The sequence below is a fragment of the Homo sapiens genome, chromosome 13 (genome assembly GCF_000001405.40).
Source record: "Homo sapiens chromosome 13, GRCh38.p14 Primary Assembly".
In the NCBI taxonomy this organism is placed as follows: domain Eukaryota; kingdom Metazoa; phylum Chordata; class Mammalia; order Primates; family Hominidae; genus Homo; species Homo sapiens.
Window position 1 is genome coordinate 55,167,722 of NC_000013.11, and position 23,755 is coordinate 55,191,476.

Consider the following 23,755-nt stretch of genomic DNA (forward strand, 5'->3'; position numbering starts at 1 on the left):
GCAAGAGACTTTAATATCACACTGATAGTATCAGACAGATCATTCAGGTAGAAAACTAACAAAGATATTAGGGACCTAATCTTGACACTTGACCTCATGTACCTAACAGACATCTATAGAAAACTCCACCCAACAAAAGCAGAATATACATTCTTGTTATCCTTACACAGCACCTACTCAAAAACTGAATACAAATGCAGCTGTGATGCAATTCTCAACAAATTTTAAGACAATTATACCAACCACATTTTTGGACCACAGTGCAATGAAAAGAAAAACCAACACCCAAATCTCTCAAAACCATATAATTACATGGAAATTAAATAATCTGTTTCAGAATGACTTTTGGGTAAACAATAAAATTGAGTCATAAGTAAAAAACATTTTTGAAACTAATGAGAACAAAGATAAACCATATCAAAATCTATGAAACACAGCTAAAACATTGTTGAAAGGAAAGTTTATAGCACTAAATGAACACATCAAAAAGGTAGAAAGACCACAAATTAACAATCTAACATCACACCTAGAGGAACTAGATAAACAAGAGCAAATCAACACCAAAGCTGTCAGCAGAAAAGAAATAACCAATAATAAGAGCTGAACTGAATGAAATTGAGGTGTGAAAACCACATAAAAAATCAACATATCTAGAAGTTTGTTCTCTGAAAGAATAAATAAGATTGATAGACCACTAGCTAGACTAACATTGAAAAAAAGAGAGAAGAACTAAATAAACAAAATCAGAAATGACAAAGGTGATAACACCACTGACCCCAGAGAAATACAAAAACCCTCAGGGACTATTATGAACACCTTTATGTACACAGATTAGAAAACCTACAAGAAATGAATAAATTTCTGGAAACATACAACCTCTGTCGATTAAACAAGGAAGAAATTGAAACCTTGAACAGACCAATAATGAGTTCCAAAACTGAATCAGTAATAAAAAGTCTACCAATTAGAAAGAGCTCAGGACCCGATGGATTCATAGCCAAATTCTAGCAAATATATAAAGAAGCGATGGTACCATACCTAATAAAACTATTCTAAACAATTGAGAAGAGGTGATTCCTCCCTAACTCATTCTATGAGGACAGCATCATTCTGACACCAAACCTGGCAGAGATACAACAAAAAAGTAAACTTTAGGCCAATATCACTGATCAACATGAATGCAAGGATCCTCAACAAAATATTAGCAAATCAAATCCAGTAGCATATCAAAAAAATGAATCTACCACAATCCAGTAGGTTTTATCCCTGGGATGCAAAGTTAGTTCAACCTACATAAATCAGTACATGTGGTTAATTACATAAACAGAAGTAAAAACAAACACCAAATGATCATCTCTATGGATGTAGAAGAGGCTTTCAATAAAATCCAGCATCCCGTCATCATAAAAACTCTCAAAAAACTAGATATCAAAAGAACGTACCTTAAAATAATGAGCTATTTATGGCAAACCCATAGCCAACATCATACTAAATGGAACGAAACTGGACACATTTCCTTTGAGAACTGGAACAGCACAAGGATGTTCACTCTCACCACTCGTATTCAACATCATACTGAAACTTCTAACCAAGGGAATAAGATAAAAAAAAATCCAAATAAGAAAGGAGAAAGTAAAACTACTTTTGTTTGTAGACAATATGATTCTATATGTGCAAAATCTCTGCCAAATAATCTCTATCAAATCCCATAATCTCTGCCAAAAATCTCCTAGGTCTGATAAACAACTTAAGCAAATTTTAGAATACAAAGTCAAAGTACAAAAATCAGTAGTATTCCCATATAGAAACAACATTCAAGCTTAGAGCCAAATCAAGAATGTAATACCATTCACAATAGACACAAAAAGAATAAAATATCTGGGAATATGGTTAACCAGGGAAGTGAAAAATCTCTGCAATGAGAATTACAAAACACTGCTGAAACGAATCAGAGATGCTGCAAACAAATGGAAAATTATTTTATGTTCATGGATAAATGAATATCATTAAAGAGGCCATACTGCCCAAAGCAATTTATGGATTCAATGTTATTCCCATCAAGCTACCTATAGCAACCTTCACAGAATTAGAAAAAACAATTTTAGAATTCCAATGAAACCAAAAAAGAGCCTGAATATCCAAGAAAATCCTAAGCAAAAAGAACAGAGCTAGAGTCTATCTGACTTCAAACTATACTACAAGGCTACCGTAACCCAAACAGCATAGTACTGGTACAAGGGAACAGAACTGAGAGCCCAGAAATAATGCCACACACCTACAACCATCTGATTTTCAACAAAGTTGACAAAAACAAGTAATCAGGAAAGGACTTCCTAGTCAATAAATGATGATGGGATAACTGGCTAACCATATGCAGAATACTGACACTGTTTCACTTATACCACATAAGAAAATAAACTCAAGATGAATTAAGGACTTAAAAATATGACCTACAACTATAAAAATCCTGGAGGATAACCTAGGAAATACCATTTTGGGCACAGGCCCTGACACAGGTTCTATAATGAAGATGTCAAAAACAACTGCAACAAAAACAAAAATTGACAGATGGACCTAGTTAAACTAAAAAGCTTCTGCACAAAAAATGAAATTGTCAGCAGAGTAAACAGACAGTCTACAAAATGGGAGAAAATATTTGCAAGCTATGCATCCAATAAAGGCCTAATATCCACAATCCATAAGGAATTTAAACAAATTTACAGGCAAGAAAACAAACAACCCCATTAAAAAGTGAGCAAATGATATGAACAGACACTTTTCAAAAGAAGACACAGATGTATGAAAAAATGCTCAAACCACTAATCATTAGAGAAGTATAAATCAAAACCCCAATGAGATACCATCTTAAACCAGTCGGAACAGCCATTATTAAAAACTAAAAAAATAAGAGATGCTGGTGAGGTTGTAAAGAAAAGGGAATGCTTATAAACTGTTGGGGGCAATGTGAGTTGGGTTAACCATTATGGAAAGCAGTTTGATGATTTCTGAAAGAACTTAAAGCAGAATTACCATTTGATCCAGCAATCCCATGATTGGGTATATACCCAAAGGAATATAAATTATTCTACCAGAAGGAAACATGGATGTGAATGTTCATCAGAGCACTATTCACAATTGCAAAGACATGGAATCAACCTAAATGCCCATCGGTGGTAGAATGGATAAGGAAAATAGGATACATATACCACGGAATACTATGCAGACATGAAAAGGAACAAGACCATGTCCTTTGCAGCAACGTGGATAAAGCTGGAGGCCATTAACTTAAGTGAACTAATGCAAGAACAGAAAACCAAATACCACGTGTCTCTCTTATATAGCAGGAATATGCATTGAGTGCACAGGGACACAAAGAAGAGAACAATAGACATCAGAGCCTACTTGAGAGTAGAGGGTTGGAGGAGGGTGATGATTGAAAAATTACCTATTAAGTACTGTACTTATTACCAGGATGATGAAATACATCATTGAACACTTGATAAACTCCTACTGATATGGCTAATGCTTTTCTTCTCCATACTGTAAAGATCCTCAGAAGTCAGTTGCTTTTACCTAGCTGTGCTAACAGTAAACCTTCAGAGCCTTGTTTCAGGGTTGTATCATTTTTTTTTCTTCTAGATATGATCTGATTTGCAGAGAGTTTGATCATCATGACATTCCACAAAGCCCCAGTCTTGTCCACTACATTGATGACATTGAGTTTATTGAATCTGATGTGTAAGAGGTAGCAATTACTATGACATAGTTTCGTAAGGTAAATTCTAGCCAGAATCTGGGCAGTAATTCCACAAAAATGCATGGATCCACCTCTTCATTAAAGTTTCGTGGTTTCAAATGTCTGGAATATGTCTATACTTGCCTCGAAGGTAGCAAATATATTTTTTCATTTTGCACTGTCACAAAAAAAATGTAAAAGCTCAATGCATGGCAGGGTTTTCAAGATTTTGGAGACAACATACCACAGTTGAGAGTGCTTCTTCAGCATATTTACCAAATCATATATTAAGGCTGCCTATATCTTTGAGAGCTATATAGTAAGAGGTGACTTTTCAATAAATACAGGCCAAAGTACAAGATGCTCTTCTCCATGGCCTAATGATTCAGTAAATCCATTGATATTCAAAGTATCTGTGGTAAATAGAGATGCTTTATAGGCCATTCTGATAGACACTAATAGAAGAACCACAAGGACAACTTCTAGGATTTTGGAGTAAATCAATGTTCTCTTCTGAAAGTAAATTTCCTACTTCTTGAGAATTAGCTTCTGACTTACTATTAGCCCTTAGAAGAGAACAAACTGAAGATGACATCAGGTGACCATACAGTCTGCATTTTCCAAGTCAAACGCATCTATTAATAAAGTTGGATATGTGCAGCACCAATCTATCATTGAGTAAAAATGATATGTAAGAAAATGAGTTTGGGCAGGGCTAGGGGATAGAGTGTCTTTTGACACTGCTTCTTTCTGCATTGCTTCCCTTCCAACCATTCACACCTACGGCTTTATGGGAGTTTCATTCAACTAGTTGACTAGAAATAAAACACTTCAGTCTGTTTTACAGTTTGTTCTTCAGGATATGCTGGTATTGCCAATGCAGTTTCTATTTCCTTAATAGTTATTAATTGATACTTATTCTTAAGGAACAGATTATATAAGCAACCTTGATTCCGTAATTTTCTAACATACTATTCTTGGTTTTATTTCTGTCATATAAACTATGTATTTTTCCAACAGCTTAAAGCCAAGTTTATCTTTTAATTTCTCTATAAGTTTCAATCACATTAATCCAATTGTCAACATTGTATCAGTTAATTCTTTTAGGTTATTATTTTTATAAGGTCTTCCACAAATTTAAAAGCATGAATATTTTGCTTTTTTTAAAAAAAATAAACTTAAATTATTCTGTTTTTGACTTATTGTAATGCCTGAGTATAGTATTGAGAAAAATATTACTTACTTTTTCTTTAATTTATTTGGAATCATTCCAATATTTTATTATAAACATTAGATTTCTACTGCTTATCCTTTGCATGCAAACATACAAAGTCTAGGGGATTTTTTAGCCACTTTTTGCCACTTAACAACAACAAAAACAAAACAAAGAAATCTTAGTGCTTTTCTTTTTTTCATACAATTGTATATAGCTACAATTTTTTAATGTTCTACCACTTAGTAGGTTAAAATAAATTTATAGAAAAATAAATGGGAGATCAAATATTCATACTTTAACATAAGAACTATCAAGATACTAGAAGGCAAGAGTGATCTTATACATAAATAAGAGTTATATTCCACAAATCATAAAGGAAATATTGATATATTTAACAACATTTTAAAGGGGCTACACTTACATCATAAACAAAGTAAATGAAGAAATAAATAATGGGGAAATGGGATTTTTAACTTATAAGACAACTTTGTGATTAATTTTATATTCTAAATGTATAAAAATGCCATACAAATCAATACCAATGGAGTAAAGAAGCTTAAAATATAATAAAGTCAGACCTAAAAAACTATACAAATTGCTTATAAAGATGTAATAATATTTAGAATCACTTGTCAGATACATATGAAGTAAAATATGCAATTTTACACTGAGATTGGATTGGAAAATCTCTATTTTTTGTATTATATAGTTTTGTAAGCTATTGCATGGGAAATAAGATTTCTCATTTAACTAGATAATATAAATTAGAGGAGAACTTTGCAATCATTATTTGTTTTAAATATTACATGTTCTTGCAGATAATAAATAATCACTTAGGAATTTTGCCTACAATTTTGCATCTCAATAGAAAGCTATAAGAACACAGATATTCTTGATGCATTATTGGTAAAAGCAGAAGAGTGGTGGAAAACAATTGTATACCCACATTTAATGCAAACATAATAAATTTATGACTTATCTCATTATGTTATTTCCCAATTGGATTTTTTCATAAGTTTCTTCTGATAAACACAAAGGATACCAGGAATTGACTCTATATTACTGCTGTCCAATAGATCGTTCAATAAGGAAGAAAATCTTGTTTATTTGTGCTTTCCAATATGGTAGCCACAAGCCACATGAAGCTATTGAGTACTTAAAATTGACTATTTCTACTGAGATATAATTTTTTGTTTTAGAGATGGGGGTCTCAAATTCTTGCCTCAATCTCCTGAGTTGCTGAGACTCAGGATTCCTTCATGCCAGCTCAGGAATTAAATTTACCTATTAATCAATATAAAGTAAAAGTGGATAACCACATCGGGCTCAAGAATATCTTATTGGGCAGTGCAGTTTGAGGTAAATGTTGCTTCTTTAGCCAGTGTATTAGTTCATTCTCACATTGCTATAAAAAAATGCCTGAGACTGGGTAATTTATTAAAAAAAAGAGATTTAATTGGCTTATGGTTGTGAAGGTTGTATGTAGGAAGTATGACAGCATCTGCTTGGTTTCTAGGGAGTCCTTAGGAAATTTACAACCATGGTGGGTGGCAAACAAGGAGTCAGCACTTCACATGGCTGAAGCAGAAGGAAGAGAGAGAGGGGAGTGGTGCCACACACTTTTAAAACAACCAGACTTTGTGATAACTGACTCACTATCAGAGAACGGCACTGAGGCAGTGGTGCCTAACCATTTTTGAGAACTCTACCCTCATGATCCAGTCACTTCCCAATGGACACCCCTCTCTAAGACTGGGGATTACAATTTGACATGAGATTTGGTAAACCTTGGTGACTAATTAGAGTCTGGCTGATATGGTTTGACACAGAGCTAAATCATATGAACCAAACTCTAATTAGTCAATAATTTCTGTTAAAAATTATCCCTCAAATATCTTCCAAATCAGCCTTCTCTTTCTTATACTGATGAATGCTTCTTTTAATTAAATTTTTATTTTTTTCACCTGTATTACTGTACCATCTTTCTAAATGAACTCTTGTCATTTAAAACCAACCCTAAATTCATCTCCTGAGATGTCTGTAAAATGTAGATCTTCGTCACTTCTATATTTGCAAACTTTCAGCTCCCCCAAGTTGTTAATATTTTGGCCCCAGATTCTCCCTTTAGCCTCACATGGCTGCCAAATCTTCAAAACTCATTTACCTTCCAGACATAAAGCTTCTTCTAAAATTCTCTTTATAAAACATCATGCATTTTCATGTTTCCAAAGTTTTGCACATTTGTATTCATCTTTCTGGAATGCTTTCCTCAATGTTTTCACTTTTGTTTCTTCATTTATTCTTCAAAGACTAAGCTCACTTGTAACCTGCTGATAATTAACTATCCCCAGTTCTACAAGCATATTTGTTAGGGATGTCTCTTCACTGTTTATATAATATCCAGTCTTACTACCCCAGTGATAACTAATGATTCGACGAATAAATATGGTCAAAACTAAAAGCTCAGTAGCCAAGAACTAACAACGTAGAATAAATATTCTTCAATGTAAAAGGCAGAGTAGGAGAGAATCCCTGAAAATGGCAAGAATTGCTAGACATTAAATAAGACAGTAAATTTGATGGTTTGAGTTATTTTTTTCTTGTGATCGTCTTATTTTCACAGCCTATCAACATTTCTTCTTAGAAAAAAAGTAATGTTAGGATAAAAAATTTTAAGTAGGAGTGATTATAGCTATTGGGGACATAATTAATGAGATACCCCTCTTCTACTAGTCTATCTTTGAGTCATGCCTTTCTACTTATAATAGTAAGCTGACATCAGCTATAATAGGGAAATTATCTTCTCTCCTGGTTCCGCTAGTGTCTGTAGAAAAGATGCAAAATTTCACCTACTATAGACATATCCCAAAGACATACCCAATGCCGCCTACATGTTTCTCTAAAAACCCATCTTTTACTCATTGTCACTACATTTCCAGTCCACCTACCAAGTCTGCATTAACTAATTAAACAAACAAGCACTGTTTGAGAGTCTACAGAATTACAAGAAACCTAAGCATTCACAATGTTTCTAGTTCATCAGGAAGCTCAGATTTTGATCTATCTTTGGTTGTTAATTTTTCTGTCACTCCAATCATATTATTTGTTCTGTTGTAGTGCATCTATTGCAGGTCCCATTGAAACTCAAGTATGGCTTATCACACTGATCTTCAAACCCAATGCATATATCAGTAATCATACAAATAATAATAATGTTGACACATTACATTTATTACATATTTACTATGTGTAATTTACTATTCTGAGCACTCCTTTACGTTATGTGGTTTGGAGATTTATAGTACTCACTAGTAACTTACTCAAGGGATATTGAAAGAGTCATACTGAGTAAATGCTATTAAGTATTCTATGATACCAGAAACAACCTTAGTATTGCAACCTTTCAAATATAAACATATGTGAGTCAATCTGAGCTGTGGGTGGACACACTCTAGTGTAACCCCCAGGAAGTCACCTATTGTATAATACCATACCCTTGAATGTGGGCAAAACTGGAACTTGCATTTAATGGAATATGACAAAACGTGCTGGGGTATCTCTGCAGTGATTAGATTACAATACACTTATAAGACTTCATTTTAATAAATTGTTGTATAGCTCTTCTCTTGCTGACCTTAAAGAACAAAACAGAGAGGTTGTGAAAATTTCTACAGAAAGGGCTTCATGGCAGGGAAGTGCAGGCAGCCTCTTGGACATGAGCATGTACTTGGAATCCTAACCTATGGAAACTGAAAAAATGAATAGGTATTGTTTTAAGTCACTAAGTTTGTGACAATTTGTTGTGTAGAAATAGAAAATTAATGTAAGGGCTATCCTAAAAGGAAAAAGAATTTAACTTTGGGCCTTTTAACATATTCAGTCTCTTTAATAAAAGGTGGCTGGTTTTACTGTTACAAATTCTCAAATGTATATTTTCACAATTTGTAAGTATATTGATAATTATGTATTATACATTTAGACTCTCAATGAATTTTAATCAAACTGAAAATGTTTTCTCACTTCCCTTCAATAATAAATAGTTGTTTATTTGAAAATGTCTTCTACCATGTCTTAATTTACAGTACCATCAAATATATAATTGAAGGGTAAGAAAATTCTTAAATTATACAATATTAACCAACACATCCCATTTAACAGAACATGGCAATAATGTTTATCTCTTTTTGTTTAATTTAAAAAGTGTTTGTGAGAAGATGGCATAATGGAGAGCAATGAAATTACTCAGAAAGTGGTTTCTGTGAGACTTTAGTTTATGTTAACATCTTATTTTTCCCTCAGGTGTCAAAGATGTAATGTTAATATTAAAATTCTCATTGTCTTAAAGTTTCCTGAATAATAAACATTCAGGATGGAAACAAGTTGGAAAAGACAAACCACACTCCTTAATAATATATAATCTATAATAGGGAGCAGCTTAGTCATTGGCTTAAATTAAATATTCATTCATTGATAAAATATTTCTGTTCCTATTTATATCATAAAATAATCAATACTCTTTAAAATTTTTCTTAATGTGTGATATGGTTTGACTGTGTCCCCACCCAAATCTCATCTTGAATTGTAGTTCCCATAATCCCCACATATCATGGAGGAACCCAATGTTAGGTAATTGAATCATGGAGGCAGTTACCCCCATACTGTTCTCATGATAGGAAGTTCTCATGAGATCTGATGGTTTTCTTAGGGGCTTTTCCCCCTTTGGCTCAGCACTTCTCCTTCCTGCTATCATATGAAGAACATGTGTGCTTCCTCTTCCATCATAATTGTAAGTTTCCCAAGGCCTCCCAAGCCATGTGGAACTGTGAGTCAATTAAACCTCTTTTCTTTATGAATTACCCAGTATTGGGTATGTCTTTATTAGCAGCACGAGAACAGACTAATATAGTAAATTGGTAACACAGAGAGTGGGTGCTGTTATAAGGATGATTGAAAATGTGGAAGCAGTTTTGGAACTGGACAATAGACAGAGGTTGAAATAGTTTGGAGGAATCAGAAGAAGACAAGAAAATGTGGGAAAATTTGGAATGTCCAAGAGACATGGAGGTCTCAGAAGACAGGAAGATGTGGGAAAGTTTGGAACTTCCTAGAGACTTGTTGAATGGCTTTGACCAAAATGCTGATAGTGATAAAGACAATGAAGTCTAGGTTTAAGGGGTTTCAGATGGAGATGACAAACTTGTTGGGAACTGAAGTAAAGGCTACCTTGCTATATTCTAGCAAAGATACTGGTGGCAGTTTGCCTCTGCCCTACAGGTCTGCAAAACTTTAAACTTGAGAGAGATGATTTAGGGTATCTGTTGGAATAAATTTTAAGCAGCAAAGCATTCAAGAGGAAGCAGACCATAAAAGTTTGGAAAATTTGCCACCTGATGATGCAACAGATAAGAAAAACTCATTTTCTGGGAAGAAATTCAAGACTGCTTCAGAAATTTGCATAAATAACAGGGAGCCAAATGTAAATCACCAAGACAATGGTGAAAATGTCTCCAGGGCATATCAGAGACCCTTCCTGGCAGCACCTCCCATCACAGGCTTAGAGGCCTAGGAGAAAAAAATGGTTCTGTGGTCTGGGTCCAGGACCCCTGCTCTGTGCAGCCTCGGGACATAGTGTCCTGCATCCCAGCTGCTTTAGCTCCAGCTGTGGCTAAATCGGGCCAAGATACAACTCAAGCCATTGCTTCAGAGGGTGCAAGCCCCAAGCCTTCGTGGTTTCCATGTGATGTTGAGCCTACTGGTGCACAGAAGTCAAGAATTAATGTTTGGGAACATCCACCTGGATTTCAGAGGATGTATGGAAACACCTGGATGTCCAGGCAAAAGTTTGCTGCAGGGGTAGAGCCCTCATGGAGAATCTCTGCTAGGGCAGTGCAGAAGGATATATATAAGGTCAGAACCTCAACACAGGGTCCCCACTGGGGCACTGCTTAGTGGAGCTGTGAGAAGAGGGCCACCATCCTGCAGACCCCAGAATAGTAGATCCACTGACAGCTTACACTGTGCACCTGGAAAAGCTGCAGACACTCAACACCAGCCTGTGAAAGCAGCCAGTAGCAGAGATGTGCCCTGCAATGCCATAGGGGCAGAGCCACCCAAGGCCATGGGAGCCCACTTCTTGCATCAGCATGCCTTGGATTTGAGACATGCAGTCATAGGCGATCATTTTGGAACTTTAAGATTTAATGACTGCCCTATTGGATTTCAGACTTGCATGGGGCCTGTAGATTCTTGGTTTTGACCAGTTTCTCCCAATTGGAATGCCTGTATCCCCATTGTATCTAGGAAGTAACTAACTTGCTTTTGATTTTACAGGCTTATAGGCAGAAGAGATTTGCCTTGTCTCAGATGAGACTTTGGACTTGGACTTTTGAGTTAATGCTGGAATGAGGTAAGACTTTGGGGGACTGTTGAAAGGTTATGATTGTGTTTTAAAATGTGAGAACATGAAATTTGGGAGGGGCCAAAGGTTGAATGATAGGGTTTGGCTGTGTCTCCACCCAAATTTCATCTTGACTTGTACTTCTCATAATCCCCATATATCATGGAGGGACCCAGTGGGAGGTAATTGAATCATGGGGGAAGTTACCCTCATACTGTTCTTGTGATAGTGAGTTCTCATGAGAGTGGATGGTTTTCTTAAGGGCTTTTCCCCTTTAGGCTCTGCCCTTCTTCTTCCTGCCACCATGTGAAGAAGGACATGTTTGCTTCCCCTTCTGCTGTAATTGTAAGTTTCTTGAGGCCTCCCAGCCATGCTGAACTGTGAGTCAAACCTCTTTCCCTTATAAATTACCCAGTCTCAGGTACGTCTGTATTGGCAATGTGAGAACAGACTAATACAATGTGTTATCTATTCTCATTGAGAATCTCATTCTTGGTACACTTTGCATGCTTATCTATTTTACACATATTTTTCTTGCTATCTCACTATCTTGAGTCATAAAAGTGTGCATAATGAGAATAATTACTTTTAAGCTTGTGTGTCCTTCATTTCACAGTACATTTAAAATATCCAGTCTGTAAAAGGTTCAGAGTAACTTCCCTTTTTTCCTGAAATAACTACCAATTCAACAAGGTGTTTATTGGTGGCAGCATGGTCCATTAACACAATCCCTCAGGACTTGCACTACTATGATGAACAGATTCTGCTATGGAAGTAACATCCCTGGCAATAAAAATATACTCTCTTTTCAGAGCCATTACCTTCAGCAATTAAATCTCCTAAAAGTGGAAAACATATTCTTGAAAATTGCTGAGAGTAGATTTTGTGTTCTCACCACAAAAAAAGGATAAGTGTGTGAGGTAATGTATATGTTTATTAGCTTGATTTAGCCATTTTACACATCTTTCAAAACAGTCTGTACACAATAGGTATAGGTAATTTCATTTGACAACTAAATATATTATTAAAGTAGAAAACATTTTTAAGTCTTTTCACTAGGTCATCTCATTGGAAAATAATATTTGTCTTTCTATGCCTGGCTTATTCCACTTAGCATAGTGTATCTCAAGTTCATCATACTGTATGACCTCACTTATATGTGAAATCTAAAAATGTGCAACTTATAAAAGCAGTGTGGAATGGTTGTTGTCGGGAACTGGAGGTCGGAGAAATGGGGAAATGTTTGTTGAAGGCTATAAACTTTCAGTTATAAAATGAATAAGTTCTGAAGACCTAATGTGTAGCATGGTGAATATAGTTAAGAATACTGTTACTTAAAATATGCTAAGAGAGTAGATCTCACATGTCTTCACCATAGACATACACACATACAAAAATAGTAACTGTGTGTGGTGTTGGATATGTTAATTAATTTGTTTGGGATAATCATTTCACAATGTATACATTGTATACATACATCAAATCATCATGTTGTACACCTTGAATATAAACCGTTTTTGTCAATTATACCTCACTAAAATTGGAGAAAAATGAAGTGTAAATAAGGCAGTGACAGTGGGATATTTTTGCTTCCTTACAAATAACTTTCTAATCTGACTTGCACTTTGAAGTTAGGTTGTTCCACCAAAGTAATTTTGTTCTTTTAAGAATTCCCTAATATTAACATTTTCAGTTTTAAAATGCTTGTTTTGTAATTTTAAAACCTCATTTATTACTTCTGTTGATAATACTGTATAAAACTGCATGTCTCACCATAGCTGCCATCAGTAAAAATTAAACTTCTTCAGGTTAACTGCTGAGAGGTCACAAAAGTAAAGATTTGATAGAATACAAAGAGAAAGTTAAAGGAGAAATTATGGGAAAACATAAGGTTGTGGCATGATGGCCACCTGCGGTGCAATGGACAGAGACAAAACCTAGATTCTTTCCAAGATGAAATTTAACAAACGATATAGCCCCTCACCCTTACACCCACAACACATACACACACACACACACACACACACACACACACACACACAGATACATACACACACACACAGTGCTGTAATCAATATGGTCTACAAAATAAAAGTGGGCAAAAAATAAACTATTTTTCAAAGAGAAGACATAACAAAACCTATGTATTTGACTTTTTAGTACTGAGAAGGGGGAGAAAAGAAATACATTCACCTTGAGATGTGTAATACCTAGTGGACCATATATGATTTTTGTAGTCCAAAATTTCTAGACTTTGTAGAAAAAAATGTACATACCCAGAAAAATCTAAATAAACCCAAACTTATAAAAATACAATTATTTTCAAGGTGAAAATTTAATTGCAGTTCTCTAAAGCAATACTCTTGAATAACTAATGGCTACAAAGACAAATCCTCTCTGAAAGAATGTAACTTAACTCTTGTATCACAGTAATTCCAAAAATTCCAAGAAAACAAGTTATGTAAAATAAAAAACAAAATCATAAACCATGTAGAATAATGTACCAAAAATGAAGGTCAGGGCAAAAAAAAAGGCAATAAGTTGAGTCAAAATTGTTAGACACTAAAATAATCAGATATAGAGTACAAAGTACATATATTTAATACATATAAAGATAACAGAACATAATATAAGCTAAGAAGAGAATTCTACATGAAAAGTGGTAAAATACTTTGGGGGAAGAAACCCAATTTAGAAAAGAAAATATAATGATTCGATAATCATTCAATTGGTGGATCATACAGTCGAAATTAAAACGTGTAATAACATTCTATGTTGTTAAAAGCATGTAATTGAGGGATTGGAATATACATAAGAAAAGGGACAATGGTAACTAGGAAACTGGTGGGCTAAAGCTGAAGGGGGGATGATGTCGAGATCTGAAGAAATTATCTTTTATGCCACTCAGAGAGAGGAAAAAAAGAGAAGACAATATGAATAATAATATGAAAAAGAGATGGTGAAATGAAAGTTAGAATGGGAAGATGTAATATATAATTTATTGAAGTTGTATACAAACAAAAGTAAGAATGGGAAAGCAGAAATATCTAATGAGATAATAGATAAGAATTTGACAAGATTATTCAAAGATGTCATAGACCTAAGAATTTTATCAAAACTTATAGGATAAGCAAATATCCTATAAGTTGTTTAAAATATAGATACATCATTGAAACTAAATACTATAAAGAGAATAAGATATTAAAATCAGTTAAAGTGGGAACAATGATCTACAATGGGTTTACAATTAAAATTATAACACATTTTTTAATAGCACAATAGAGGCCAGAAGACAAAAAATAATGTTTGAAGTTCTAAGAGAAAATGGTCTCCAATTTTCAATTTTATAGAGGGCTAAATTATCCTATCTGGTCTGGTGCAGTGGTTCACGCCTGTGGTCTCAGCACTTTGGGAGGCCAAGGCAAGCAGATCATTTGAGGTCAGGAGTTCAAGACCAGCCTGGCCAACATGATGAACACTGTTTACTAAAAATACAATAAATAGCCCCCTGTAGTGATATGTGCCTGTAGTTCCAGGTACCTGGGAGGCTGAGGCAGGAGAATTGCTTGAACCCGGGAGGCGGAGGTTACAGTGAGCAGAGATTGCACCACTGCACTCCAGCCTGGATGACAAAGCAATACTTCATTTCAAAAAAAAAAAAAAAAATTTTCCCACCTATAGTATTTTCAGAAGTTAGTAGAAACATAGGACATATTTCTAATAGAGTCTCCAGTAAACTAGCTTTTAAAAGGTGTGCTTTACATAAGAGAAAAATAGTTGTCAGTGGAAATCTAAAGGTAAAAATTTAATATTAAGTGAAGACATTATAAAATAGTTTCATGAAATAAGATAAATGTTGATTCCATAGAATTCTAATTTTTGAAGAAAAACAAGATAGAACTAAAATACTGGGACAAAAGGGCACATGAGTTGCAAAATAGTTTATTGGAGTTTAAATGTTCTAACATCTGTGTACATTTTAGGATAAGATAAAGATTTTGAATAACTTTAGATATGGTTGAATATGCATATTTATATAGGTATGTTAATCACTAAAAAAAATTAATATGGCCGGGCACAGTGGCTCATGCCTGTAATCCCAGCACTTTAGGAGGCCGAGGAGGGTGGATCACGAGGTCAAGAGATTGAGACCACCCTGGCCAACATGGTGAATCCCTGTCTATACTAAAAAAAATAGAAAAATTAGCTGGGCATGGTGGCACATGCCTGTAATCCCAGCTACTTGGGATGCTGAGGCAGGAGAATCACTTGAACCTGGAAGGCAGAGGTTGCAGTAAGTCGAGATCATGCCACTGCACTCCAGCCTGGCAACAGAGAGAGGCTCCGTATCAAAAAAAAAAAAAAACAAACAACAACAAAAAAAAAAACACACACACACACACAAAACAATAATTAATATAACCTCAAAAGAAATTGAAGACAAACAAAATAAGAAAAAGAAGCAAGAAACCCAAAACAAATAAGACCCAGAAAAGAAGAAAATATATATGATTTTAAAGAGTGGTAAATAGAAAGCATAAGACTGAAAAACAAATTGAATTAAGAACTCTCCTTTCAAATCATATAAATGTTTAGTGTAAACAAAGTACAAAATCTAGTTATATTTTGCTGAAAAAAGGACACATCTAAGTTAAAAAGACTGAGTTATGTTGAAATTATAAAATACAAATTAGTTTTACCCAGCAAATTTAAGCAAATAAAACTGATACACAATTTCAAGCAGGTAAATTTTAAAAGAAAAATATAGAACTAAAGAATGTAACAACATGAAAAACTCAATTTACAAGGAATATATAAACATTATAAATATATGAGTAAGAAATACCCTTAAATATGAAAAGCAAATTTGTAGCTCTTTTATATGAGAAATTGACAAATACAGCAAAAAAAAAACATTTAAAACACTTCCATATTATATTGATTGATGCTCAAAACAAAAACAAGAAAAAATCTATATAGCAGTTTTAAGGAATCTAATTAACAAATTTGATCTCTGAAACATGTATCATCAAACAATTAGAGAACATACTTATACATTTTCAGGCACATATAGAATATTTATAGAAATGAGTCCATATGCTAAGTCGTAAAACTGAGCCTAACAAATTTCAAATGATTACTGTTATTGAGTCTATGTTGTAACTGGGTTAGAAAGTAATGATTTAAAAATACATTTGGAAATTACAAAACCTCATGTAAATAATGCATTAGTAAATTGAAGTACATAATTAAAATAAAGCAAATTGGACAGGATGATGGTAAAGTGATATTTTTAGTGAAATGCAAATAGAAGCCACGATGCAATACCACCTTACTCTTGCAAAAATGGCCATAATCGAAAAAGCAAAAAACAGTGATGGTGGCGTGGATACGGTCATCAGAACCTTTCTACACTGCGGTGGAAATGTAAACTAGTACAACCACTATGGAAAACAGTGTGGCTATTCCTTACAGAACTAAAAGTAGAACTACCATTTGATCCAGCAATCACACTACTGGGTATCCACTCAGAGGAAAAGAAGTCATTATTTGAAAAAGATATTTGCACACACGTGTTTATGGCGGCACAATTCACAATAGCAAAATTGTGGAACCAACCCAAATGCCCATCAATCAATGAGAGGATAAAGAAACTGTGATATATATATATATATATATATATATATATATATATATATATATACACACACACACACACACACACACACACACACACCTATATGTATAGGTATATGTGTATGTATAGGTATACATACATACCTATATGATGTACATACATATATATGATATACATACATATATAAATATGTATATATCATATATATGATGAAATACTGTGCAGCCATAGAAAGGAATGAATTAACAGCATTTGCAGTTATGTGGATGAGATTGAAGACTATTATTCTAAGTGAAGTAATTCAGGAGTGGAAAACCAAACATCATATGTTCCCACTGATAGGTGGAAGCTAAGCTATGAGGATGCAAAGGCATAAGCATCATACAATAGATTTGGGGGACTTGCGGGGAGGAACAGGAGGGAGCAAGGGATAAAAGACTACAAATCTGGTGCAGTGTATACTGCTCTGGTGATAATTGCACAGAAATCTCACAAATCACCACTAATGAACTAACTCACGTAACCAAATACCACCTGTACCCCAATAACTTACAGACAATTTTTTTAAAGTTATCCAAACTTGTACTGTGAAGTCATGGGTGTAATCCCATTGTAATTCCTGGAGTAGAACAGGGACTACCACCATTAAGATTCATCTCCTCTACCAATCTCAAAGGAAAAAAAGCATTATTCTGCAAGGGAAAGTGTATTCAAGTGGTAGTTGGAGGGCACTGGTGGAAAGCAACTAGAGCTAAGGGAGGAAGGAGAAGAAAAAAAATTTAGACAGTACACATTGGGGGAAGGACAAGCATATAGGTTAGGCCCTGAATTATGTCTGAAGATTTGGAAGAAATATTTGTGAAGTTAACTTCTAAAACCTAGGCTTATAGTGCATGGGTTAGACTGAGTCGACTTAAAGATCAAAAATAGTTGCCCCCTTTCTCACTTTCCCCTATCACATGAATATGCATTGAGTAAAAATAATGATAGAGTACAATTGGAAGAGTTATAAAAGGCATCCTCTCCCTGGAGACCATCACAAAGTGAGATCCAAAGCCAAATGGGGCTGATAAAAACAAGGTATCACTAGAAAATTTGAAGTCTCTAATGTCCATAGCAAAAGCAAATTTCGAATATGTCAATAATAGCAACAACATCTTAAACACTGAAGCTCAATTTCTGACAAGGTTAATACAAACCTACAAACTAAAGACCCAGTAGAAGGAAAGGGTTACCTTTAAGGGTTTAAAACAAACAAATAAACTTTTGGTTTTACATATCCTATTCAGCATTTCTAGCATTCATAAAAAAATACAATTAATAAAAAAGAAAAAAAGCAGTCTGAAAAGACAATCATAACCAGACTCAAATATGACACTGATGTTAAAAATATCAGACAAGAGATTTGAAATAACCATGATTAATGTGTTAGAGATTATAATGGAAAAGATAGACAAAATGCAAGATCAGATAATTTTAGCAGAGGTATGAAAATTAAGAAAAAGAATGAAAAATGATGGAAATCAGTAGAACAGTTAGATAAATAAAGATTGATTGCCTTTGATGTGCTCATCAGTATCTAAGACGAACCTGAAGAAATTATTTGTAAGCTTGAAAATAGGTCAATATAAAATATGAAATGTAAGCTTTCTTTTTAAAACTCATGTTGAAATTAATCTTTGACATTTTCAGGTACTTTTAATATCTTCAGTTAAAATGTCAAGAGTGAGTCTAATAAAAAACCACTTATTCTTGTTGGTATATTTAATTATTTTAAATGAAATCAATTGCCCTTTACTCTGACATATGATCTTGAAACAAGTTTTGAAAGAAGTGGTTTCTCTGAAGCTCAATTAAATCATAGTATTATCAAGCTTGGTAATATAAATATAAGTATCCAGTTTAGATGCACTGGGAGTGGATTTCATGGCTATAAATAATTACTAGCCTACATTCTCATCACTACTTCAGTAGAGCCATTCCATAATTATCCCTACCATTCTTTTAGCATTCCTTCCATCTATGTGCCTAGCATAGTTAGGTAGTGTTTACATTATTCTTTATTTTTACTCTCAGCAAATACGAAATATTTTTCAGAAGAGAAAATTGCAGTACTATTACATACAGTTGCAAATAGCTAAGCCAGGGTTTGATAGTTATCTGAGAGTTCAATAACTATTTCCCTAACAATACTTTCCAGATAGAAACTAAATCTAGTCTAAAATGATGAACCAGAATATATGTTAGTTAATTATTTTTGTCAAAGTTCTAGTCAAGACAATTGTAATAAATGGATTGCCTCTGTTTTAGTTGCATTTATTCAGCACACACAGATTTAGTTAAATAGAATGTAAACTAACTGCGTTCTAGTTCATTAGAAATATAATTAGGAGAAGGAGCATATGGGGGAAAACGAAAGGAACAAACACTGGTAGTTAAAAGCTAAAAAATAAGTGAGACATCCCTAAAAGATGAATTAAAACAGAGGCAATCATTTTAAAGGTTGAATAAACTATAAATATTTTCATCATTTTAAATAAGCAGTGGTAAGGAAGAAAATGTATTTTTTATTTTCAGAAATATCTAGAAATTCAAACTAATTAGAGGAAGCATTCATTTTTCCTTTTAGTAATTCACCTATAAAAGTAATAGTATGGTATTTTGAAAAGATGATCAGTTTTGGAATTAAATCTATCTCTGCTTACATCCCAACTGTGCCATTTATTGTTTTAGCTGTGGGATAGACAGTGAGCTAGCTATTTAAGCATTTGTAGCATAAGTTTAATCATCTTTGAAACGGGCATAATATCAGCTCCATTAATGTCATCCCATCTCCAGTAGATTTGTTGTGAGATTAAATGAGGTATTAGATGCATGGAAATCACCTGACTTCAGACCTGTCTCTTCTTAATTAATTAATGTTATCATACTTATGGCTCAAAATAACTTGTATGGTAAAAATTCTTAAAAATGTTATGATTATAAATTTAATATTTTAAAATATATTAAAATTACTTCCAAAATATTTTTTGTCAGAACTGTGCATGCATTTCAATACTTGTAACAATGCAAATGTACTTATCACTATTTACTCCCATGTAATTTATGAGAATTGTTTACATAATTTAGGAAAAAATATCTTTATTCCACAAAAGGCAAACATGTATTACTTTTCTTTAATAGAATGGAGAATGGATTAAGAATTAAGTGAAATATGTGTGTGTGTGTGTGTGTGTATATATATATATATATATATATATATATATATATATATATATGTATCTATAAAACTTTAATTTCTTGAAAGTCTAACCCAGGCATGAGAGATACAAATCATAATACAACATGATGTTCGAGGTGGTAATATCACTTTAAAGAGCCATTTGTAAGTATATTTCAAATGTACTTCGGATTGACTTAATTTATAATTACTGATTATTACTCTAATTTATCTATAATTGCTATAATTACTTTATCATAATTAGGGCACCAAAGGCCCAATTAAAGTCCCAATTAAGGGCTAAGATTGGATGACTCCCAAATTTTTATTTGAGACTGAAGAAAAGGGCTAAAAGTAGGCAACTTAAAATGGTTGCTATGACATCAAGGGCTTCTTTCAGGTTAAAATAATAAAGAGCGTAAATAAATTTAGCAATAATTCAAGTAGAATTACAATGGCATCATATTTACCTTTCTGTTTTATGGCATAGATATCTTAAAAGTAACAATTTTCTATTTTTTTCTCTGTTCTGTTTCATTAATTGGAAAATATTTAACAAAGCGATATTTACTTATTTTGATTTCTGATGTTAACATTTTCAGGCGTACTTATAGGCTTTCTTAACTTTTCTCTTAAGTCATACTCTTAGTGGCTTTGTGTTAGTATAACTGTTATTCTTCAAAATATGATTTATTTTATGATTTAAAGTTCCAAATAATGGAATCCATCTATTTGAATTTTACTTTGTTTCTGTAAATTTGCTCCAATCATTAGAGGTATTCTCTATTATGTACCAGGTTACAAGGGGCACTGAAATTTTAAAATAACTGAACGAAACCAAAATATCCTTCCTTGTCAGTTTTTAGTGGTCCTTATCAACAAAATTAAAATTAAGAATAAACGTAAAGTCAGTATTTACTACAGTATACTTCTATTGCTGCAAGCTGTTTCCAGTAGCCTTACTTGTAGAAACCTCTGAAACAGCATTATCTAATTATCAAAAAAAAAAAAAAAAATTGGACAGCCCAGGATTTGATGACAGAATCAGAGCCTTTCCCCCACTGCTTTTTAAAAACTGTAGATAAGCTCATTTTGTGAATAAAGAAGATAATAAAACTGAGCTCAAATTGGTCACTAATCAAATGCCTTATAGAAAAGGGATAACATACCTGCATCTTTTTAACTAGTTTAAATGTAGCATATTCAATTTAACTGGATTTCATCACCATAAGTGGAAATCACATGTGAGCTTAAGAGGAATTCACTTGGCTCACACCAAAGCATTCATCCACAATGAGGACTGAATCAAGTGCTGAGTAACTGATCTTTGTTCCATTTCTCATATTCATGCTGTCAGGTTCCAGTCTTATAAGCTAGGAAGATTCACATAACTGATCTGATTCACATTAATGATCTGGTACCCGATTCCATTTTTAGCAGTGATAAGATATATATTTCATCAGTGAATATCTGAGCCCAAGGCCATGCTTATCATTATGTTTTCACTAGTGGATAAAAAATGAATGAATTTAACCATGGAAAATTTAAGTTCCATAATTCATTGTAACTAATTTACTCATTTTATTAACGAATGGAATTTTGAGTAGTAGAATATAATGTTTCAGATCCTAGCTGCTGGACTCAAACTCCCTTGGTTTGAAGATAATTAAAAATTATAAAACATTAGAAAAGTACTTTAATTACTGTGTTCTACAAATTCATTTGCAAATAGGAGTAAAATTAGCACTCACTTCCTAATTATTGTGTATAATAAATATTACATATATGTAAAACACTTAAAACTGCCTGAAATTTTGCACATTATATATAATGATTACTGTTGCTCCTATTTATTATTATAATTAACACTGCATATAAATACACTTTTAGAGGTGTTTGAATTATAATGCCAAGTATATGGTGGATGAAAGAAGAGATAGTTGATGTAATAATAAATGATGAAGTTCATGAAGGGAACAAAACTTGTGTCCAACACTAAATAGTCATCCTGCTCTAAGAGGTGTTTTGTATTAGCAAATAACTTTGAGGAAAAGAAAAGTGAGCTAAGCACACAAATAATATTTTTCTTAACATGACTATTATCAAGTTAGAAGTGAATTGTGGCTCAATTCTGGGAAGCAAGAAAGAGGTGTGAGCAAGAAAGCTAAAAGGATTCAACCAACAATAATTTCCAAGGGTTCATACTGAAAAACATAAGCCAGCAACATCCCCTGTCTTTACACAGATTCTATATGAAAAGAGTTAAGATATTAAGAACTGTCCAGCAAGATGTTATGTTTGCATAAAAAATTATATTGCTTGAATTCCCAAGTACATGTATTACAAAAAAAATTACAGTAAAATAAAATCTATCTAAATACAGAATTCAAAAATAATAATAGATAATTGTTTTCAAGTCTATATTTTTGTTAAGGACTGTGATAAGCATGTTACATGCATTAATTCACTTATTTATCTCTAAAAGCCTGTGCAGTAGATTACTAAAATTAGTCTTGAATCAAATTTATTGACACGATTTACATATGATAAAATTCCCTATTTTAAGTTCAGAGTTCAATGAAATATAAAAAGTATATACCTTTAACTAACCAACACTACTAAGATATTGTACTTTAATATACTAGCAATAAAATATAAAATTTAAATTTAAAAATAAACTTAACAGCATTCAAAGTATAAAATATTTAGTGATAACTAAATATGCATACTCAGTACAACGAAAATTACAAAACGTTGCTACAAAAACAAAAGCAAGCATAATAATAAATTAAGTTATATATACCACGCTCATGGACCAGAGAAATCCATATTGTTACATTCCTGTGCTTAAATCTGACAAACTAGTACCATTTTGGTCAAAGGTAGAAATGAATCATTAAAAAGAAATTATTACTGTATAGATGGAATGGGCCCCTGTGCCTAAATGGCCCCATTGATTGATCAATATTTTTATATGATTTCAGGCAGCTTTAGGATAATTTTCTAGCACTGTACTGTCCAATATTTTAGCCTCATTGAGACACAGTTATTATTTTCTATCAGTGCCTTAGACAGTACATGGTAAATGTCACTTTGAAGAACTTGTTTAGCACTTCAGTCCACTAGTCCACGTCATTTGCATTTCTGCTGCAGTTCTGAGAGCTATAACCACACGTTTAAAAATGAGTCCCAAAGATAACATACCTCATTTGATGCCTACTATACCACAAAAGCAGAGAGCTGCTTTGTTACTGGTTACTGGTGAAATATTAAATTGCTGAGCAAGCCTAATTTTAACATATATTTATTGCAATGGTTAAGAAGTCTTATTTTTATTAAAAGCAAAATTTTAATCTAATACTAAAATTGATTTTTGAGTATGAACCTAAAGCAGACTTAACAAGATTCCATTTAATGTGCAGCTATAATATCTAAATGTTACACATAGTTTTTTCATATTGTAGGAAATGCATGAAAAATTATTAGTGATAGGAAAAAAGACCTCTGGGACCTTATATGTCAGTTATAAAAGACAGATTGTTAAAACT

General features: G+C 33.2%; 1 long non-coding RNA gene and 1 other non-coding gene across 2 annotated transcripts in view; both read left to right on the forward strand.

Annotated features, from left to right (window-relative positions):
• Positions 1-15,015, forward strand: part of LINC02335 (long intergenic non-protein coding RNA 2335) — a 128,930-nt gene extending 113,915 nt beyond the window's left edge. Inside the window, exon 5 of the long non-coding RNA NR_186625.1 lies at positions 11,283-15,015. This is a non-coding gene — a long non-coding RNA (long intergenic non-protein coding RNA 2335). The remainder of the gene's footprint in view (positions 1-11,282) is intronic.
• MIR5007 (microRNA 5007) lies at positions 6,733-6,827 on the forward strand. The gene has a single exon (NR_049804.1). It is a non-coding gene; the product is annotated as a microRNA 5007 (primary transcript).
• Positions 15,016-23,755: the final 8,740 nt, after the last annotated feature.